Source organism: Homo sapiens, chromosome 1, assembly GCF_000001405.40.
Source record: "Homo sapiens chromosome 1, GRCh38.p14 Primary Assembly".
In the NCBI taxonomy this organism is placed as follows: domain Eukaryota; kingdom Metazoa; phylum Chordata; class Mammalia; order Primates; family Hominidae; genus Homo; species Homo sapiens.
Window position 1 is genome coordinate 86,798,812 of NC_000001.11, and position 20,666 is coordinate 86,819,477.

Consider the following 20,666-nt stretch of genomic DNA (forward strand, 5'->3'; position numbering starts at 1 on the left):
ATGGTACTATGTCCTGTGCACTCAGAGAGTGAGCAAAAATACCTCCCCTCAAGTGACATGGGCACAAAATTAAAACTACTTCAACTCAAATTCTTGCTCAGGATGTTCTCTATTTGTTTCCTGAACACCAGATTATCTGGGTCAAAAACCAAGCCTCCAGCCTATAACTAGAAAATGAGGGTTCCTCAGAGTTCTACCCAAATCACAAGGGCATGATCTCCCACGCCACCTTCTTTGCATTGCTACATGCACATATGCAAACACATACACTGCAACCAGAACTCAGGATTTCCCCTTAAGTCCCCTTCCTCTCTCCCCAGGTATTTCTGAAATGGGAACTCCATGTAGGCCCATGCAACACTGTCAGCTGCAGGTGCCCACAGCAGCTACCCTGTTCTTCTGCCTGGCTCCCACACCATTTTCTGTGAGTAGCTGTCATCAGCCTCACCCCCTCCCAAGTTTCACAGAGAATCACTAGAAAATAATTCCTTTAGTTTCTTCTAACCAAAGAGACCAAGATGGGAAGGAGATCTATACCATCTATACCATTCAGCACTCCTCCTCCCGCTTCTTCTCCTTCTGCTCCTTTTTTTTCTCCCCCACCTCCTCTCTTTCTTTCTCCTGCTCCTCTCAACCTGGCCCTCAACCATAACTCTTCTCTCCTTCCTGAGTTACAGAGCTGAAGTTTCCTGGCACATCGAGGGATGCAAAGAGTTACAAATGGCAGTGGGAGAAAGAGCCTTTAATACATCTTTCAGCGGTGCTGACCTGCAGCCAGAATTTACCAGCCCTTCCTCTGTTCTAGTGCCATTGATCACCAAAGCAACAAGAAATATCTGAACTAGAGGGAGCCACTCCAGTTTATCTGATTTCTAAGTTGCTATCACTCAACAAAAATCCTAATATAAATCAGGCACTGTGTAATGTGGGTGTCCTAAGATCAACATAACTTTTTTCTTCTTATTATTATTACTACCTTAGTTCAGACCACCAACACCCCCTCTCACCTAAATTACCTCGATGCCTCCATTTTCCCCAACCCCAACATATTCTCATATGGTTCCCAGAATAATTTGTCCAACAAAACATTTGATGGTGTCAATGTTGTAAAGAAAAGCGAGTTATCTTTTAAAATCTTTAATACATTCCCTCAGAACTCACAGCAAAGTCCTAACATGGTAAAGCTTAAAAGACCCTTTGTGATCTACCTTCTGCTCATTTTTCCAGGCTCATCTCTTGTCCCTGGCCTCCCTGGAGATGTCCAGAGATGCCCCCTTCTCTCTACTCATGCTTCTCACAATTACAGGAATATGCTCTTCTCATCCCTTCATCTGTTAATTCTCATTAGTCTTCAAAGTCTTAGCCTAGGCATGAATTCCTGTAGGAAGCGTCCTCTGACTCAAGGCTGGGTTAGAGTCCCTCCTGGAGTTGACACCTTTGGAAGTATCTAATTAGCCCATGAGCCACACCTCCTTCTTTAAGAACTGAGCCTCACTTGCCCACTCCCCCAATTTACAGTCACTGGCCCCAGAGCCATGTTTTTACTATGACCTTGCCAATTAGACAAGGGTTAAACCCTTCATTGAAGGGGGACAAATTAGATTCCCCTCCCCAAGAATTTGGCATAGGGGCAGGCCATCCAGCCTCCTGGTCAGGCTTCAACATGTAAACCCAGGAATGAGCTGTGGGATGGTCATATCCCTCTGTGGGGACAAAGAAGCATGAGGCCAGGCTGCAGAGAAAAATGCAGCCCACCAGCAGAGAAAGACTACTTCTGGGGCTCCCAGTGGCTCTCCAGTTCCTGGTTCTATAATAGTCCTATTTGACATACTGCTACATTTTTATTTTTTTAACTCCTCTCTTTTGTTTAAGAGAGCTCAGTTGTTTTTTGTTTCTCTAAGCCAAAGTCTTAACTAATACATCCTTCTTGTGCTCATTTACCACATGCTTCAATGGCCTGTTCACTAGTTTGTATCTTTCATTGAAAGTTGTAACCTCCTTAAGGACAAAGATTATGTTTTATTCGTTATTGTTGTATCTCAAACACAGTGTTTGATACATCATAGGTATTCAAAAATTGTTTATTGAATCAAGGTCATAGTGAATACTTATTGCATACTGATTATGTACCAGGCACTATTGTATTCACTCATTCAATTCTCACAAGAAGAAAAAGTAATTACTGTTTTGTTTTGTTTTGCTGATGGACTCTCGCTCTATCACCCAGGCTGGAGTGCAGTGGCGCCATCTTGGCTCACTGAAACCTCCGCCTCCCGGGTTCAAGCAATTCTCTGCCTCAGCCTCCTGAGTAGCTGGGATTACAGGCATGTGCCACCACGCCCAGCTAATTTTTGTATTTTTAGTAGAGACAAGGTTTCACCATCCTGGCCAGGCTTGTCTTGAACTCCTGACCTCGTGATCCACCTGCCTCGGCCTCCCAAAGTGCTAGGATTACAGGCATGAGCCGCAGTGCCCAGCGCTAATTACTGTCTTTTTATACCTACTTTACAGATCAGAAAATTAAGGTGCAGAAAAGTTACTAGCCCAAGACCACAAAACTAGCAAATGGAATTTAAGTCTATGCAATTTAAGTGGGATTTAAGACAAGCTGGGAATTAAGTCTATGCAATCTGACTCCAGAGACCATGCTCTTAAGGAGGCCTCGCCCTGCTTAACAGAAATAAGAGAGAAGGGATGCAGGACACAGTGCCTTTCCCAGAGTAGCTTATAGCATTCTTTTCTATCTTTCCTATGGTTTTCATGGTTTCGTGACACCCATTTGGTACTGTATCTTATGCAGTCATGTTGTGTCTAGAATTGGTGGGTTCTTGGTCTCGCTGACTTCAAGAATGAAGCCGTGGATCCTCACAGTGAGTGTTACAGTTCTTAAAGATGGTGTGTCCGGAGTTTTTTCATTCTGGTGGGTTTGTGGTCTCACTGACTTCAGGACTGAATCTGCAGATCTTCACGGTGAGTGTTACAGCCCTTAAAGGTGGCCCGTCTGGAGTTGTTTGTTCCTCCTGGTGGGTTCATGGTCTTGCTGGCTTCAGGAGTGAAGCTGCAGACCTTCACAGTGAGTGTTACAGCTCATAAAGTTAGTGTGGACCCAAAGAGTGAGCAGCAGCAAGATTTATTGCAAAGAGTGAAAGAACAAAACTTACACAGCGTGGAAGGGGACCCGAGTGGGTTGCCGCTGCTGGCTAGGGTGGCCTGCTCCTTTATTTGGCCCCACCTACATCCCTACACCCTGCTGATTGGTCCATTTTACAGAGAGCTGATTGGTCTGTTTTGACAGAGTGCTGATTGGTGCATTTACAAACCTTTAGCTAGACACAGAGTGCTGATTGGTGCATTTACAAACCTTTAGCTAGACACAAAAGTTCTCCAAGTCCCCACCCAACTAGCTAGACACAGAGTGCTGATTGGTGTGTTTACAATCCTTTAGCTAGACAGAAAAGTTCTCCAAGTCCCCACTTGACCCAGAAGCCCAGCCAGCTTCACCTCTTAATCCCCCCCTAAACAGGACACCCCAACTGCTGTTGGGAATTTGGCTGATGACCGCTCTAGCTACTTCCTGCTGGATAGGGGTGAAGAAGGGGCCCTGCAGTTGTAGTGTCCTCCAGAGGGGAACTCTTTAAGCCAGTGGAAGGGCCAGTGGGTTGGTCCAGGGGTCCTCAGTAGAAGTTGTTAGTTGAACTCATTTGGGGTTCCATTTGTAAGACCATCTGTAGCTTGATGGCCTTAATTCTAGGGGAAACAAATTTGACAAGGAGGTTAAAAACACAGGGCCTGAAGGCAAGTAATAGCAAGATGGCTACCACGGGACCTAGAAAGGGGAGAAGCCATGTTGCCCAACTCCAGAGGTTGGTATAAGAATTGTGAAAGGTGTTTTCTGATTTCAGAAGCCTTTTCCTGTAATTGCTGGGCAGCATCTCATACTATCCCTGACTGGTTAATGTAAAAAGAACACTCTTCCCCTAAGAAGGTTCAGAGTCCTCCTTTCTCAGCAGTGAGGAGGTCTAGGCCTCAATGGTTTTGGAGAGTCACTGCTGCCAAAGAATCTATTTGGGATTGTAGAGTAAGGATAGATTTCATTATTTCTTGCAAACTGTCTGAGAAAGCCTTTGAGAGTGTGTGGTAGTAAGATAATGCATGTTACACTGTTAACTTTTAGCAAACTCTACTTTAGTAGAAAACCTTGTAAGTTTGGAATTTTAATTTTTCTTTGCTATTAATAAAACCTCATTCAGTCCATATTAACTTAGAATTGGTATAGATGTCTCCTTCCTGATTCTGTAAGTACTTTAAGATTTGGTTTAGTGCAAACAACTCACACATTTGAGCAGACCAATTATTAGGCAATTTTCCTAACTCTGCTTCTACAAGAGTTTCCTTAACATTTACTGAATACCCATTGTGTCTTTTTTCCTTAATCGCCCAGGAGGAACCATCTATCCTCCTGTCCTAAAGGGAGTTCCTCCTCTGTCTGGTCGGACCTTCAGATTTAGATCCCCTGTTAGGAAACCTGCTGGGTTAAGGATTTTTGATAGGAAGGCTACGGGTTGTCAGTGGCCTCAGTGCTTTCGGGCTACCCCCTTGTTTACACTAACAAGGTGGTATTGGAGTGTTATAGGGTCACAGAGAAGACCTTCAATTATCAATTATAGGTTTTAAATTTACCCTGGCTTTTAAAGGAATACGGTATACTGTTTTTTCTTTACTACTTCCATCTCCCTTTCTTTCTCTTTGACTTATTCATCTTTCACTTTCTCACTCCCTCTTTGTCTGTCTTTTCCTCTCTTTCTTTGACTTTCTATGTCTTTCTCTCGCGTTCTCTGTCTCTCTCTTTGACTCCTTCTCTTTGTCTCTCTGTTTCTTCCTCTCTTTTTTCTCTGTCTCTTTCTCTCTTTCCTTTCTGCTGGTCTTTCCCTGACTCTGCTAGCTGCTTATGCTGCTGTTCTCCCTTCTCCTTCCCCTTTTTGATGGCTTTGGCAGTGTAAGACTGCCAAATCCTTGGGTTTTTGCACTGTGTGCAATAACTCTGTGATTTCCTTGTGGTATTTAATGGGGGTCCTCCAGAGGTTAGGAACTCCCTTTCTTTCCATATTGCAGCATGGGCATCTAGGATTAGATAAGCATACTTGCTATCTGTATACACATTTATTCTTCTTCCATTTCCCAGTTCTAAGGCTCAGGTAAGTGCCACTAGTTCTGCTAACTGGATGCTGGTCCCTGGGGGAAGAGGCTTACTTTCAAGTATGTTTACATCACTAACTATGGCATAACCTGCCCTTCGTATCCCATTCTCCACAAATGAACTTCCATCAGTATATAGGTTAAGGTCAGGATTAGCTAAGGGGACTTCTAAGAGATCATCTCAGGTGGCATAAATCTGCACTATAATTTGTTGGCAGTCATGCTCGACTGGTTCCCCATCCTCTGGGAGAAAAGTGGCAGGGTTGAGGGCCATGCATGTATGTATTTGAAGCACTGGTCCCTCAAGGAGTAGTGCCTGGTATCTAAGTAGGCAGTTGTCTGATAGGCATAAACTTCCTTTGGCACCTAGTATGCCATTTACATCATGAGTAGTCCAGACAGTGTGATCCTTTCCTTGTATTATTTTGATAGCCTCTGACACTAAGACAGCCACCGCTGCAACTACCCTTAAACAGTGAGGTTAGCCTTTTACTACTACATCAGTTTCCTTACTTAGGTATGCCACTGGTTGTGGGGTTGTCCCACGAGTCTGAGTAAGGACCCCAAGAGCTATTCCTCCTCTCTCTGTGACATATAAAGAGTTTTTTCCTGTGGGAAGACTTAAAGCTGGAGCTTGTACTAGGGCCTGCTTTAAGGTTTTGAAGGCTGTTTCTGCCACTGGTTCCCATTCTACTAGATGAGTATTTGCTCTCTGGGTCTCCTTGATTAGAGTATAGAGGGGCCTGGCTATCTCGCTGTATCCAGGGATCCATAGTCAGCAAAAGCCAGTGATTCCAAGGAACCCCCACAACTGTTTTAATGTCTTAGGGTGAGGATAAGCCAGTATAGGCTGTATTTGTTCCTTGCTAAGGGCCCTGGTTCCTCTGGCTAAGATTAGGCCTAGAAATTTGACCTGCTGTGGGCAAAGCTGGGCCTTCAACCTAGATGCCTTTTACCCTTGATTAGCTAGAAAGTTCAAGAGTAGCCTGCTGGCATGAGGCTTCCCAACTGGTAGCCAAAAGTAAATCATCCATATACTGAAGGACCAGAGTGCCTGGACTTGAGAAGTGGCCTAGATCTTGGGCCAGTGCCTCACCAAACAGATGAGGGCTATCCCTAAACCCTTGGGGCAAGACCATCCACATAAGTTGGGACATGTGGTCTGTGGGATCCTCAAAGGCAAAGAGAAACTGGGAGCCAGAGTGCAGGGGAATACAGAAGAAGGCATCCTTGAGGTCCAGAACCATAAACCATTCTGCTTCCTCTGGTATTTGAGAGAGCAGGGTATAGGGGTTTGCTACAACTAGATATACAGGAATTACTGCCTCATTGATGAGTCTAAGATCTTGCACTAATCTCCACTGACCATTTGGTTTTTGTACTCCTAGAACTGGGGTGTTGCAGGGACTGCTGCATTTCCTTACTAAGCCTTGAGGTTTTAAATGTTTTACAATATCCTGTAATGCTTTATGAGCTTCAAGCCTTAAGGGATATTGCCTTTGATAAGGAAAAGTGGTGGGGTCTTTTAGCCTGATTTGGACTGGGCGGGCATTTTTTGCCCTTCCAAATTGTCTTTCCAATGCCCACACTTCAGGGTTGATTCCCTCCTCAAGTAGGGGACAACAAATGGGTAACTTGTTCCCCATATTCATGTAGATAATAGCTCCAGCTTTGGCTAATATATCCCTCCCTAATAAGGGTGTGGGACTTTGAGGCATAACAAGAAAGGCATGTGAAAAGAGCAAAGTCTCCCAATTACAACTGAGGAGGTGGAAGAAATACCTGGTTACAGGCTGTCCCAGGATTCCTCGGATGGTAATGGACCTTGAAGACAGTCATCCAGGACAGGAGATTAATACTGAGAAGGCTATGCCAGTGTCCAGGAGGAAGTCAATTTCTTGGTCCTCAGTGGTTAAACGTACCCAGGGCTCAGCGAGGGTGATGATATGGGCTGGTGCTTGCCCCGCACACACTCAGTCCTGTTGTTGGATCATCTGGTTGGGGGCTTCTGACCCAGAGAACCTTTGCACTCTGGGGCAGTGTGCCTTCCAGTGATTGCATCAGCATAGTGGACATGGACGAGGGGGCAGCTTGTTTCTCATTGCACAATCTTTTTTAAAGTGTCCTTGTAAACCACACTGATAACAAGCCCTACTGGGTGATTGGCCTGCTCCATATTCTGTCCTCTCTGAACCACCAAGGTTTGTTTGTCTGAGGGCCCTGACTAAGGCTGCAGCCTTTCTCTGATCTCGCTTTTCCTTTTGGGCCTGTTCCTCTTGGTCCCTGTTATAGAACACCAAGGTTGCCAGGTTTAATAATTCCTGCAGATTTTGTTCAGGGCCCAGGGCTTGCTTTTGGAGCTGTCTCCTGATATCTGCAGCTGACTGGGTAATAAACTTATCTTTTAGAATCAATTGACCCTCGAGTGATTCGGGTGACAGGGGAGTATATTTTCTTAAGGCCTCTCTTAGCCGCTCGAGGAAGGCAGAAGGCTTTTCTTCTTGTCCCTGAGTTATAGTGGACATCATTGAATAATTCATGGGCTTTTTCCTAATTCCCTTTAGTCCTTCAAGAACACAGGTCAACAGATGTTTATGACTCCAGTCCCCATGATCTGAGTCAAAGTCCCAGTGGGGATCCATAGTGGGGATGGCTTGCTGACCAGTAAGGAATTTGTCCCTTTCTTTGGCTGTCATTCTATCATTTACTTGACTAAGATACCAGGTATCTCCAAACTCTCGGGCTGCAGCTAAAGCTGCATTCTTTTCAATAAAGGCTAGGGTTTGATCTAACAATAGCATGACATCTCTCCAAGCGAGATCGAATGTTTGCCCTAGACCCTGTAGGACATCTTTGTACCTATCAGGATCATCTGAAAACTTCCCCAGGTCTGCCTTGATCTGCTTTAAATCAGAGAGGGAGAAGGGGACATGGAGAACTTTTGTGTCTAGCTAAAGGATTGTAAATGCACCAATTAGCACTCTGTCAAAATGGACCAATCAGCTCTCTGTAAAAGGGACCCCCCCAATCAGCTCTCTGTAAAATGGGCCAATCAGCTCTCTGTAAAATGGACCAATCAGCAGGATGTAGGTGGGGCCAAATAAGGGAATAAAAGCAGGCCACCTGAGCCAGCAGTGGCAACCCACTCGGGTCCTGTTCCATGCTGTGGAAGCTTTGTTCTTTCGCTCTTCACAATAAATCTTGCTGCTGCTCACTCTTTGGGTCCACACTACCTTTATGAGCTGTAACATTCACCGTGAAGGTCTGCAGCTTCACTCCTGAAGCCAGCAAGACCATGAACCCACTGGGAGGAACGAACAACTCTGGAAGTGCCACCTTTATGAGCTGTAACACTCACCGTGAAGGTCTGCAGCTTCACTCCTGAAGTCAGCGAGACCACGAACCCAACAGAAGGAAGAAACTCTGGACACATCCGTACATCAGAAGGAACAAACTCTGGACACACCATCTTTAAGAACTGTAACACTCACCACAAGAGTCCGCGGCTTCATTCTTGAAGTCAGTGAGACCAAGAACCCACCAATTCTGGACACATTTTGGCGACCACAAAGGGACCATCGCTTATCACCAAGTGGTGAGACTATCACCTATCACCTATCACCAAGCGGTGAGTACCATTGAACCCCTTTCGCTTGCTATTCTGTCCTATTTTTCCGTAGAATTTGGGGGCTAAATACCGGGCACCTGTCAGCCAGTTAAAAGCAACTAGCATGGCTGCCAGACTAAAGACACAGGTGTCAGGCTCTCTGGCAAAGGGCTCTCAAACAACCCCCAACTACTTCCCTCAGGTGGCCATTTTTCCCCATCAAAGAGAGAATATTGGGGCCAGGCCATAGTGCAGAAAAAAGTGAGCTGCCTCTTTTTCAGGGTTTGTGGGTCAAATTGGTCCCAATGTCTTACAATGCATTTCAAGGGGGAGCCCGTTGATGCCTGAGTGTTTCCCACCTGAAAGACAAAACCACCCACGGTTTTGGTTTGTTTTGTTTCTCCCCCTGCCCAAGAACCCACAACGGGTCCCTGGACCCTGCTGATTAGAATAGTTGCACTCACCGATGCAGTAGCAGAAACAACCCCTGCCCAAGAACCCACAACGGTCCCTGGACCCTGCTGATCAGAATAGTTGTGCTCACTGATGCAGCAACAGAAACATTAATTTTCCTCCCAGACCACAAGGAAGACTGAGGAAGGTCAGATTTTGTGGCTCTTACCAATGCATTCTCAAAAACCTGCACCCTTTCCTGTCCTCCTAGATCACAAAGAGGACTGAGAAAAATCAGATTTAGTGGCCCTTACTGATGCATTCTTGAAAACCTGTTAGAGTCCTAAGCATTCTCCTGTTAGTATTGGGACCTTACCCATGTCCTATAAAGATGTTATGCCCCAAAAATGAAATGCAGGGCCATACCCTGAGGGAAGGAAGGGCTCTCCAGAGTTGGAAGAGTGATGCCTTTTGTCCCCACTTGTATGAATAGGAAGGATACAATTTCTGAGGCTCCCCATATCCTAGCTTCAGGAATAGCTTTTGTTAGGCCTGCTAGTCTGAGGAGGGATCCTAAAATTCCAGATAGTCCCCCCTATGATGGGGCTTTGGGCAAAAATTATGTCTTTCTGATTGGTGAGCCCGGGTGCCCAAAGAAGGTAACAGAATCCTGGAGTTTATACTAGAAATCATTCTTATAGGAGAAACTAGAAAAGCCCAAGAGACAGGGAGTGGTTTTTTAGAAGCGGGACTAGCTTCGGAGAAGAGAGGTGAGACGAAGTTTGTCTGGCAGGCGTTAGGACCCAGGCAGCAAGGGTCAGGATAGATAGGAGAGATGGGTGAGTCTCGCTTGGGCAACATGCCTTTGAGAGTTCCACTCATGGCCACAGGGCCAACCAACTTGTTGGGACCCCGGAGCTGAATGGCTTTCCTCTCTGTCAACCCTCAGCTCAGCCCAGAAGTACAGGAAAAGCAGAAGCTGGTTCCAGGCAAACCAACACTCCCAACTCCGAAGAGTCGGGGATTGTTAGAGAGCCCTTTGCCAGAAAGCCTGACAACCATGACTTTAGTCCGGCAGCTGCACTAGTCGCCTTTAACTGGCCAACAGGTGCCTGGTATTTAGCCCCCAGATTCTAAGGAAAAATAGGACAGAATAGCAAGTGAAAGGGGTTCAATGGTACTCACCGCTTGGCAATAGGTGATAGTCTCACCGCTTGGCGATAAGCGATGTTCTCTTCATGGTCACCAAAATGTGTCCAGAATTGGAGAATTGGTGGGTTCTTGGTCTCACTGACTTCAAGAATGAAGCCGCGGACCCTCATGGTGAGTGATACAGTTCTTATAGATGGTGTGTCCGGAGTTTGTTCCTTCTGATGTTCAGATGTGTCCAGAGTTTCTTCCTTCTGGTGGGTTCGTGGTCTCGCTGGCTTCAGGAGTGAAGCTGCAGACCTTCACAGTGAATGTTACAGCTCATAAAGGTAGTGTGGACCCAAAGAGTGAGCAGCAGCAAGATTTATTGCAAAGAGCGAAAGAACAAAGCTTCCACAGCATGGAAGGGGACTTGAGTGGGTTGCCACTGCTGGCTCAAGTGGCCTGCTTTTATTCTCTTATTTGGCCCCACCTACATCCTGCTGATTGGTCCATTTTACAGAGCAGATTGGTCCATTTTACAGAGAGCTGATTGGTCTGTTTTGACAGAGTGCTGACTGATGCATTTACAAATCTTTAGCTAGACACAGAGGGCTGATTGGTGCATTTACAATCTTTTAGCTAGACACAAAAGTTCTCCAAGTCCCCACCCGATTAGCTAGACACAGAGTGCTGACTGGTGCATTTACAATCCTTTAGCTAGACAGAAAAATTCTCCAAGTCCCCACCTGACCCAGAAGCCCAGCTAGCTTCACCTCTCAATGTCTAATATCTATATTCTTCTTCTGTGCTGCTCTACTTATCCTATAAAAATGTCTCATCTTCCTAGCTATATTGGAAGCTCTTTCTTTGAGGTCAGAGGCTGAGATGTACATGTCTCACTATTGCCCTTACATTGGTTAAGGTACTTTTATTTGCAAATAACAAAAACACCAACTAAGACTGATTCAGATAATCAAGAGATTTTATAGATGTTTGCACTAAAAGGTCCAAAGGTAGATCTAGCCTAAGGTAAGGATTGATTCATGACTTCATATCACCAAGGACCTTGTTTCCTTTCTCCCCCTATTTCTGCCTTCCTCCGAAAGATGGCTTTTGGAGTGGTCCTCCAAAAATATCTGCCAACAGCAATAAAGACCCTTTTCTTCCTTACTCTTATTTAGCATAAATGAAAGAGAACTGGCCGGGCACTGTGGCTCACTCCTGTAATCCCAGCACTTTGGGAGGCTGAGGCGGGTGGATCACCTGACATCGAGAGTTCAAGACCAGCCTGACCAACATGGAGAAACCCTGTCTCAACTAAAAATACAAAATTAGCTGGGTGTGGTGGCGCATGCCTGTAATCCTAGCTACTCGGGAGGCTGAGGCAGGAGAATCACTTGAACCTGGGAGGCAGAGGTTGCGGTGAGCCAATATTGCACCATTGCACTCCAGCCTGGGCAAGAAGAGCGAGACTCCATCTCAAAAAAAAAAAAAAAAGAAAGAGGACACCAGTTTCAGTATTCCTAGCAAATTATTATGATTTACTTTAAAGGATATGCCCAGTAATTACTGAATCAATCACCATAACTCTGTGTGTGTGTGTGTGTGTGTGTGTGTGTGTGTCAGAGAGAGAGAGAAAGAGAGAGAGAGAGAGAGAGAGATGAGTTCATCGGTTTAGCCCAAGACACCTGGTGGGCCACATAGAATGTGCTCCTAGAATAATGTGTGGTGTTCAAACCAAAATGGAAGTGGTTGAGAAGCGGGACATAGAACCTCAGGATTGGCAGAGGCCTTGAAAGTTGGTCAGTACAGCCTCTCTTATAGTGCTTCTACCTCCTAGAATAATCCTTTTCTTTGAACAATTCAGTCTTTTAGAATACTAATATCTGAATCTAGACCCTAGTGGTAGGTCCAAGTTCACTTAGAATAAGCCTAATCTCTTCTCCATGAGGATGCTTTTTGCATTGGAGCATGGCTATCCTGCTTTCCTTCAGTGGTTCCAAGTGGCAGGGTTCACACTCTTTTACCACCTGTTTATTGCACAGAAGCCCCCAGGAAGCCCTAATGTTGGGAAAATTGGGAGCTCCCAATAGAATGAGCTTCCTTGATGACCCTGCCTACTCCCACTGCTCTGGGCCCAGTTCTTGTAGGGAGCAGGGACAGTTGTTTCTCACTGCGGTGGCCCATGAGGCCCTGTCTGAGGCTGCTGATCTTCCTACTGCAACACACCAGGGCTGGCAAGTGTCGAGCTTTCAGAAGTATATCTGTAAGTATTTTTCCCTCTAACTCGGTTTCTTGCTCTCTGGAGAAAAGGGAAGATGCGACCACAGTTCTTTATTTTGTTGACACCCTGGAACAGATAGAAAATGTCTAGCTGCTACAGAGAGTAATCTAAGGAAAGAAAGCCTTTTGTGGCTTCAGAAGCCATTTGCAGAGGGCATAAGTGTTAACACACACCGCTTAGATTCAAAAGCCCAATTTGGCCCCTAGTTAGCTTCTCAGGATTGTTTCTCCTCCCATGAGCGTTTCCTTGGCTGCAGTTGGAGAGAAGAGAAAAAGTAAAAGCATAGCCTCAGAGTGCCATGCAGTGCAGGGAAAGCAAAGTTCACCAGGAGAGGGGGCAGCTGTGTGCGGTGCCTCAGGGCCACTATTGATTTGCCAATGAGATTCCGTTGCTGGAAGCTGAACTTATTTTGGGTTCCAAAGCAGGTAAGAAGAGGAGAGAATGGGAGTTATCAGACTAAAGGAGACAGCAGAGGAGTTGTGTTTTGTTTGAAGCACCCTCAATCTTTTGCTTTTTAAAAACTGAAATACAACTGTTGAAGGCAAGAACGAGGTGCTAGTTCTTTTTGTCTGTTTTTGAGATGGAATCTTGCTCTGTCGCCCAGGCTAGAGTGCAGTGGTGTGACCTCAGCTCACTGCAACCTCCGCCTCCCAGATTCAAGTGATTCTCCTGCCTCAGCCACCCGAGTAGCTGGGATTACAGGTGCCCAGCTAATTTTTGTATTTTTAGTAGAGACGGGGTTTCGCCACCTTGGCCAGGCTGGTCTCGAACTCCTGACCTCATGATCCACCTGCCTCGGCCTCCCAAAATGCTGGGATTACAGGTGTGAGCCACTGCATCCAACCAATGAGGTGCCAGTTCTAACACCGAGCAACAGAAGGCAGGGCTCATCCCTTTTCACAGTGTGGAAAGCAACGAGATGGGGCCTTCCTTCTTGGTCCTCAGCATATTCAGCTCATTGGCTTTTTGGAAGGGGAAACTGAGGCATTTTGCACCAGTCAGTCTGCTGCTTAGGATTCACAAGCCAAAGCATTCCATCTTAAAGCAAACAATGACAGGGTTCTGGATGACGTCATGCTCTTTAGGAAGTCCTAGTGCCCAAACGTAGGCCCTCCTTCACTTAAGGTAGAAAATTGGATTTTGTGTGTGTGTGTCGGGGTTGGGGGGGGGATTGGTGATACTGTTCCCATCACCACCACTTTACTGTGTTTGACGCCCCCTCCCAGAGCCTTCACTCATTGTTCTGGAAGTGCCCATTTCTCCCTCTTTGCCCTCCATTGCATTTAGCATCCTAGCAGCTGAACTACATTTTCTAATTATTAGGTTGGTAAAAAAAGTAATGCAGTTTTTGCAATTACTTTTAATATTTCTCGTCACAAAACCTGTACGCTCTTGGAAGGGAGGGGCTAACATTTTTGAGCACTCCATGGGCCAGGCCTGGGGGCAGGTACTTTTACATCCACTTCTGTGAGATACTTACACCTACCCATATTTTACAGATGAGGAAAGTTCAAGTTGTTCACCCAAGACCCCACAGCAAATAGGTGTAGAGCCAGGATCCTTACCCAACCTCCAGGGCCCCCTCTCTGCTACACCAGCAGGCATTATCTTGTATTTGTTACATTCCTGTCAGCATGTGTTAGGTTTGGAGTAATAGTCACTGATTTTTTAACAGTACTTTTTAGTTTTTAATTTTTTTTAGAGACGGGGTCACACTCTGCGGTGCAGGCTGGAGTGCAGTGGTGGGATCATAGCTCACTGCAACCTCAAACTCCCCGGGGCTCAAGCAGTCCTTCCACCTCAGCCTCCCAAATAGCTAAGATTGCATGTGCACGCCACCACACCCAGCTAATTTATTTATTTTTTTAATTTCTGGTATTCTTGTTCACTTGGTTACATTTGTATAAAGTTCTGATTGCCGGTTGCTCACATAACAAGTAACAAGGCAGAATTCTTTAAAGCATTAAAGTTCCTTAAACCTAAAGCTAAATCTTGAATACATTATTGAATTCTTTAATATCCTGATGGCAAAGAGATTGATAGCTGCACATTTGGCATGCTTTGTTTTTTGGATTTTATTTTTCATCACAGATTTATTTGGATATGTTATAGTTAATTTTGTAAACCTGCATCAGGTTTATGAATAAAGAACCATTTAAAAATTTAAAAACAAACAAACAAAAAAACAAGTCTCTCTGTTGCCCAGGCTGGTCTCCAACTCCTGGCTTCAAGCAGTCCTCCTGCCTCAGCCTTCCAATTAGCTGGGATTACAGGCACAAACCACCTTACCAGCTCACTGCTTATTAACTTCATGTTTTCCATGTCTATCTGAAATCTGATTTGAAATTAACTAAGAGTAGAGGGGACTCTAGCCAAGATGGCCAAATAGGAACAGCTCCAGTCTACAGCTACCAGCGTGAGTGACGCAGAAGAAGAATGACTTCTGCATTTCCAACTGAGGTACCAGGTTCATCTCACTGGGGAGTGTCAGACAGCGGGTGCAGGACAGTGGGGGCAGTGCACCGAGCATGAGCCGAAGCAGGGCGAGGCATTGCCTCACCTGGGAAGCACAAGGGGTCAGGGAATTCCCTTTCCTAGTCAAGGAAAGGGGTAACAGATGGCACCTGGAAAATCAGGTCACTCCCACCCTAATACTGCGCTTTCCAATGGTCTTAGCAAATGGCATACTAGGAGATTACCCTCCAGCGCACCTGACTCAGAGGGTCCTACGCCCACAGAGCCTTGCTCATTGCTAGCACAGCAGTCTGAGATCAAACTGCAAGGCAGCAGTGAGGCTGGGGGAGGGGTGCCCGCCATTGCTGAGGCTTGAGTAGGTAAACAGAGCAATTAGGAAGCTCAAACTGGGTGGAGCCCACCACAGCTCAAGGAGGCCCGCCTGCCTCTGTAGACTCCACCTCTGGGGGCAGGGCATAGCAAACAAAAGGCAGCAGAAACCTCTGCAGACTTAAGTGTCCCTGACAGCTTTGAAGAGAGTAGTGGTTCTCCCAGCACACAGCTTGAGATCTGAGAACGGACAGACTGCCTCCTCAAGTGGGTCCCTGACCCCCAAGTAGCCTAATTGGGAGGCACCCCCCAGTAGGGGCAGACTGACACCTCACACAGCTGGGTACTCCCCAGAGGAATGATCAGGCAGCTACATTTGCTGTTCACCAATATTCGCTGTTCTGCAGCCTCCGCTGCTGATACCCAGGCAAACAGGGTCTGGAGTGGACCTCCAGAAAACTCCAACAGACTTGCAGCTGAGGGTCCTGACTGTCAGAAGGAAAACTAACAAAAGAAAAGGACATCCACACCAAAACCCGGTCTGTACGTCACCATCATCAAAGACCAAAGGTAGACAAAACAACAAAGATGGGGGAAAAAACAGAGCAGAAAAACTGAAAATTCTAAAAATCAGAGCATCTCTCCTCCTCCAAAGGAATGCAGCTCCTCACAAGCAATGGAACAAAGCTGGATGGAGAATGACTTTGATGAGTTGAGAGAAGGAGGCTTCAGATGATCACACTTCTCCGAGCTAAAGGAGGAGTTTCGAACCCATGGCAAAGAAGTTAAAAACCTTGAAAAAAGATTAGACAAATGGATAACTAGAATAACCAATGCTGAGAAGTCCTTAAAGCACCTGATGGAGCTGAAAACCACAGCACGAGATCTACGTGACACATGCACAAGCCTTAGTAGCCGATTTGATCAACTGGAAGAAAGAGTATCAGTGATGGAAGATCAAATGAATGAAATGAAGTGAGAAGAGAAATTTAGAGAAAAAAGAATAAAAAGAAATGAACAAAGCCTCCAAGAAATATGGGACTATGTGAAAAGACCAAATCTACATCTGATTGGTGTACCTGAAAGTGACGGGGAGAATGGAACTAAGTTGGAAAACACTCTGCAGGATATTATCCAGGAGAACTTCCCCAATCTAGCAAGGCAGGCCAACATTCAAATTCAGGAAATACAGAGAACGCCACAAAGATACTCCTCTAGAAGAGCAACTCCAAGACACATAATTGTCAGATTCACCAAAGTTGAAATGAAGGAAAAAGTGTTAAGGGCAGCCAGAGAGAAAGGTCAGGTTACCTACAAACGGAAGCCCATCAGACTAACAGCGGATCTCTCAGCAGAAACTCTACAAGCCAGAAGAGAGTGGGGGTCAATATTCAACATTCTTAAAGAAAAGAATTTTCAACCCAGAATGTCATATCTAGCCAAACTAAGCTTCATAAGTGAAGGAGAAATAAAATACTTTACAGACAAGCAAATGCTGAGAGATTTTTTCACCACCAGGCCTGCCCTACAAGAGCTCCTGAAGGAAGCACTAAACATGGAAAGGAACAACCGGTACCAGCCACTGCAAAAACATGCCAAATTGTAAAGACCATCGAGGCTAGGAAGAAACTGCATCAACTAATGAGCAAAATAACCAGCTAACATCATAATGACAGGATCAAATTCACACATAACAATATTAACCTTAAATGTAAATGGGCTAAATGCTCCCATTAAAAGACACAGACTGGAAAATTGGATGAAGAGTCAAGACCCATCAGTGTGCTGTATTCAGGAAACCCATCTCATGTGCAGAGACATACATAGGCTCAAAATAAAGGGATGGAGGAAGATCTACCAAGCAAATGGAAAACAAAAAAAGGCAGGGGTTGCAATCCTAGTCTCTGATAAAACAGACTTTAAACCAACAAAGATCAAAAGAGACAAAGAAGGCCATTACATAATGGTAAAGGGATCAATTCAGCAAGAAGAGCTAACTATCCTAAATATATATGCACCAAATACAGGAACACCCAGATTCATAAAGCAAGTCCTTAGAGACCTACAAAGAGAGTTAGATTCCCACACAATAATAATGGGAGACTTTAACACCCCACTGTCAACATTAGACAAATCAACGAGACAGAAAGTTAACAAGGATATCCAGGAATTGAACTCAGCTCTGCACCAAGCAGACCTAATAGACATCTACAGAACTCTCCACCCCAAATCAACAGAATATACATTCTTTTCAGCACCACACCACACCTATTCCAAAATTGACCACATAGTTGGAAGTAAAGCACTCCTCAGCAAATGTAAAAGAACAGAAATTATAACAAACTGTCTCTCAGACCACAGTGCAATCAAACTAGAACTCAGGATTAAGAAACTCACTCAAAACTGCTCAACTACATGGAAACTGAACAACCTGCTCCTGAATGACTACTGGGTACATAACAAAATGAAGGCAGAAATAAAGATGTTCTTTGAAACCAATGAGAACAAAGACACAACATACCAGAATCTCTGGGACACATTCAAAGCAGTGTGTAGAGGGAAATTTATAGCACTAAATGCCCACAAGAGGAAGCAGGAAAGATCTAAAATTGGCACCCTAACATCATAACTAAAAGAACTAGAGAAGCAAGAGCAAACACATTCAAAAGCTAGCAGAAGGCAAGAAATAACTAAGATCAGAGCAGAACTGAAGGAAATAGAGACACAAAAAACTCTTCAAAAAATCAATGAATCCAGGTACTGGTTTTTTGAAAGGATCAACAAAATTGATAGACTGCTAGCAAGACTAATAAAGAAGAAAAGAGAGAAGAATCAAATAGACGCAATAAAAAATGATAAAGGGGATATCAACACCGATCCCACAGAAATACAAATTACCATTAGAGAATACTATAAACACCTCTATGCAAATAAACTAGAAAATCAAGAAGAAATGGATAAATTCCTGGGCACATACAGCCTCTGAAGACTAAACGAGGAAGAAGTTGAATCTCTGAATACACCAATAACAGGCTCTGAAATTCAGGCAATAATTAATAGCTTACCAATGAAAACAAGTCCAATAATTAATAGCTTACCAATGACAAAAACCACATGATTATCTCAACAGATGCAGAAAAGGCCTTTGACAAAATTCAACAGCCCTTCATGCTAAAAAAGTCTGCAGAGGTTTCTGCTGCCTTTTGTTTGCTATGCCCTGCCCCCAGAGTGGAGTCTACAGAGGCAGGCAGGCAGGCCTCCTTGAGCTGTGGTGGGCTCCACCCAGTTTGAGCTTCCTAATTGCTCTGTTTACCTACTCAAGCCTCAGCAATGGCGGGCACCCCTCCCCCAGCCTCACTGCTGCCTTGCAGTTTGATCTCAGACTGCTGTGCTAGCAATGAGCAAGGCTCTGTGGGCTTAGGACCCTCTGAGCCAGGTGCTGGAGGGTAATCTCCTGGTATGCTATTTGCTAAGACCATTGGAAAGCGCAGTATTAGGGTGGGAGTGACCTGATTTTCCAGGTGCCATCTGTCACCCCTTTCCTTGACTAGGAAAGGGAATTCCCTGACCCCTTGCACTTCCCGGGTGAGGCGATGTCTCAACGAAAAAAATTGAGGCAATAATTAATAGCTTACCAACGAAAAAAATACCAGATGGATTCACAGCTGAATTCTACCAGAGGTACAAGGAGGAGCTGGTACCATTCCTTCTGAAACTATTCCAATCAATAGAAAAACAGGGAATCCTCCCTAACTCATTTGATGAGGCCAGTATCATCCTGATACCAAAGCCTGGCAGAGACACAATAAAAAAATAGAATTTTAGACCAATATCCCTGATGAACATCGATGCAAAAATCCTCAATAAAATACTGGCAAACCGAATCCAGCAGCACATCAAAAAGCTTATCCACCATGATCAAGTAGGCTTCATCCCTGGGATGCAAGGCTGGTTCAACATATGCAAATCAATAAATGTAATCCAGCATATGAACAGAACCAACGACAACAATCACATGATTATCTCAATAGATGCAGAAAAGGCCTTTGACAAAATTCAACAGCCTTTCATGCTAAAAACTCTCAATAAATTAGGTATTGATGGGACGTATCTCAAAATAATAAGAGCTATCTATGACAAACCCACAGCCAATATCATACTGAATGGGCAAAAACTGGAAGCACTCTCTTTGAAAACTGGCACAAGACAGGGATGCCCTCTCTCACCACTCCTATTCAACACAGTGTTGGAAGTTCTGGCCAGGGCAATCAGGCAGGAGAAGGAAATAAAGGGTATTCAATTAGGAAAAGAGGAAGTCAAATTGTCCCTGTTTGCAGATGACATGATTGTATATCTAGAAAACCCCATCATCTCAGCCCAAAATCTCCTTAAGCTGATAAGCAAGTTCAGCAAAGTCTCAGGATACAAAATCAATGTGCAAAAATCACAAGCATTCTTATACACCAATAACAGACAAACAGAGAGCCAAATCATGAGTGAACTCCCATTCACAATTGCTTCAAAGAGAATAAAATACCTAGGAATCCAACTTACAAGGGATGTGAAGGACCTCTTCAAGGAGAACTACAAACCACTGCTCAACAAAATAAAAGAGGATACAAACAAATGGAAGAACATTCCATGCTCATGGGTAGGAAGAATCAATATCGTGAAAATGGCCATACTGCCCAAGGTAATTTATAGATTCAATGCCATCCCCATCAAGCTACCAATGACTTTCTTCACAGAATTGGAAAAAACTACTTTAAAGTTCATATGGAACCAAAAAAGAGCCCACATTGCTAAGTCAATCCTAAGCCAAAAGAACAAAGCTGGAGGCATCACACAACCTGACTTCAAACTATACTACAAGGCTACAGTAACCAAAACAGCATGGTACTGGTACCAAAACAGAGATATAGACCAACAGAACAGAACGGAGTCCTCAGAGATAAAGCCACATATCTACAACTATCTGATCTTTGACAAACCTGAGAAAAACAAGCAATGGGGAAAGGATTCCCTATTTAATAAATGGTGCTGGGAAAACTGGCTAGCCACATGTAGAAAGCTGAAACTGGATCCCTTCCTTACACTTTATACAAAAATTAATTCAGAATGGGTTAAAGACTTAAATGTTAGACCTAAAACCATAAAAACCCTAGAAGAAAACCTAGGCAATACCATTCAGGACATAGGCATGGGCAAGGACTTCATGTCTAAAACACCAAAAGCAATGGCAACAAAAGCCAAAATTGACAAATGGGATCT

At 44.6% G+C, this 20,666-nt stretch overlaps 1 annotated feature.

The window, feature by feature from the left end:
• Positions 15,251–15,842: an enhancer, noted in NCBI's record as "OCT4-NANOG-H3K27ac-H3K4me1 hESC enhancer chr1:87279745-87280336 (GRCh37/hg19 assembly coordinates)". NCBI's record gives its function as "activates a minimal SCP1, AML or CMV promoter by ChIP-STARR-seq in naive and primed H9 embryonic stem cells {active_cell/tissue: H9 hESC(naive and primed)}" and the evidence as "EXISTENCE:reporter gene assay evidence [ECO:0000049][PMID:30033119]".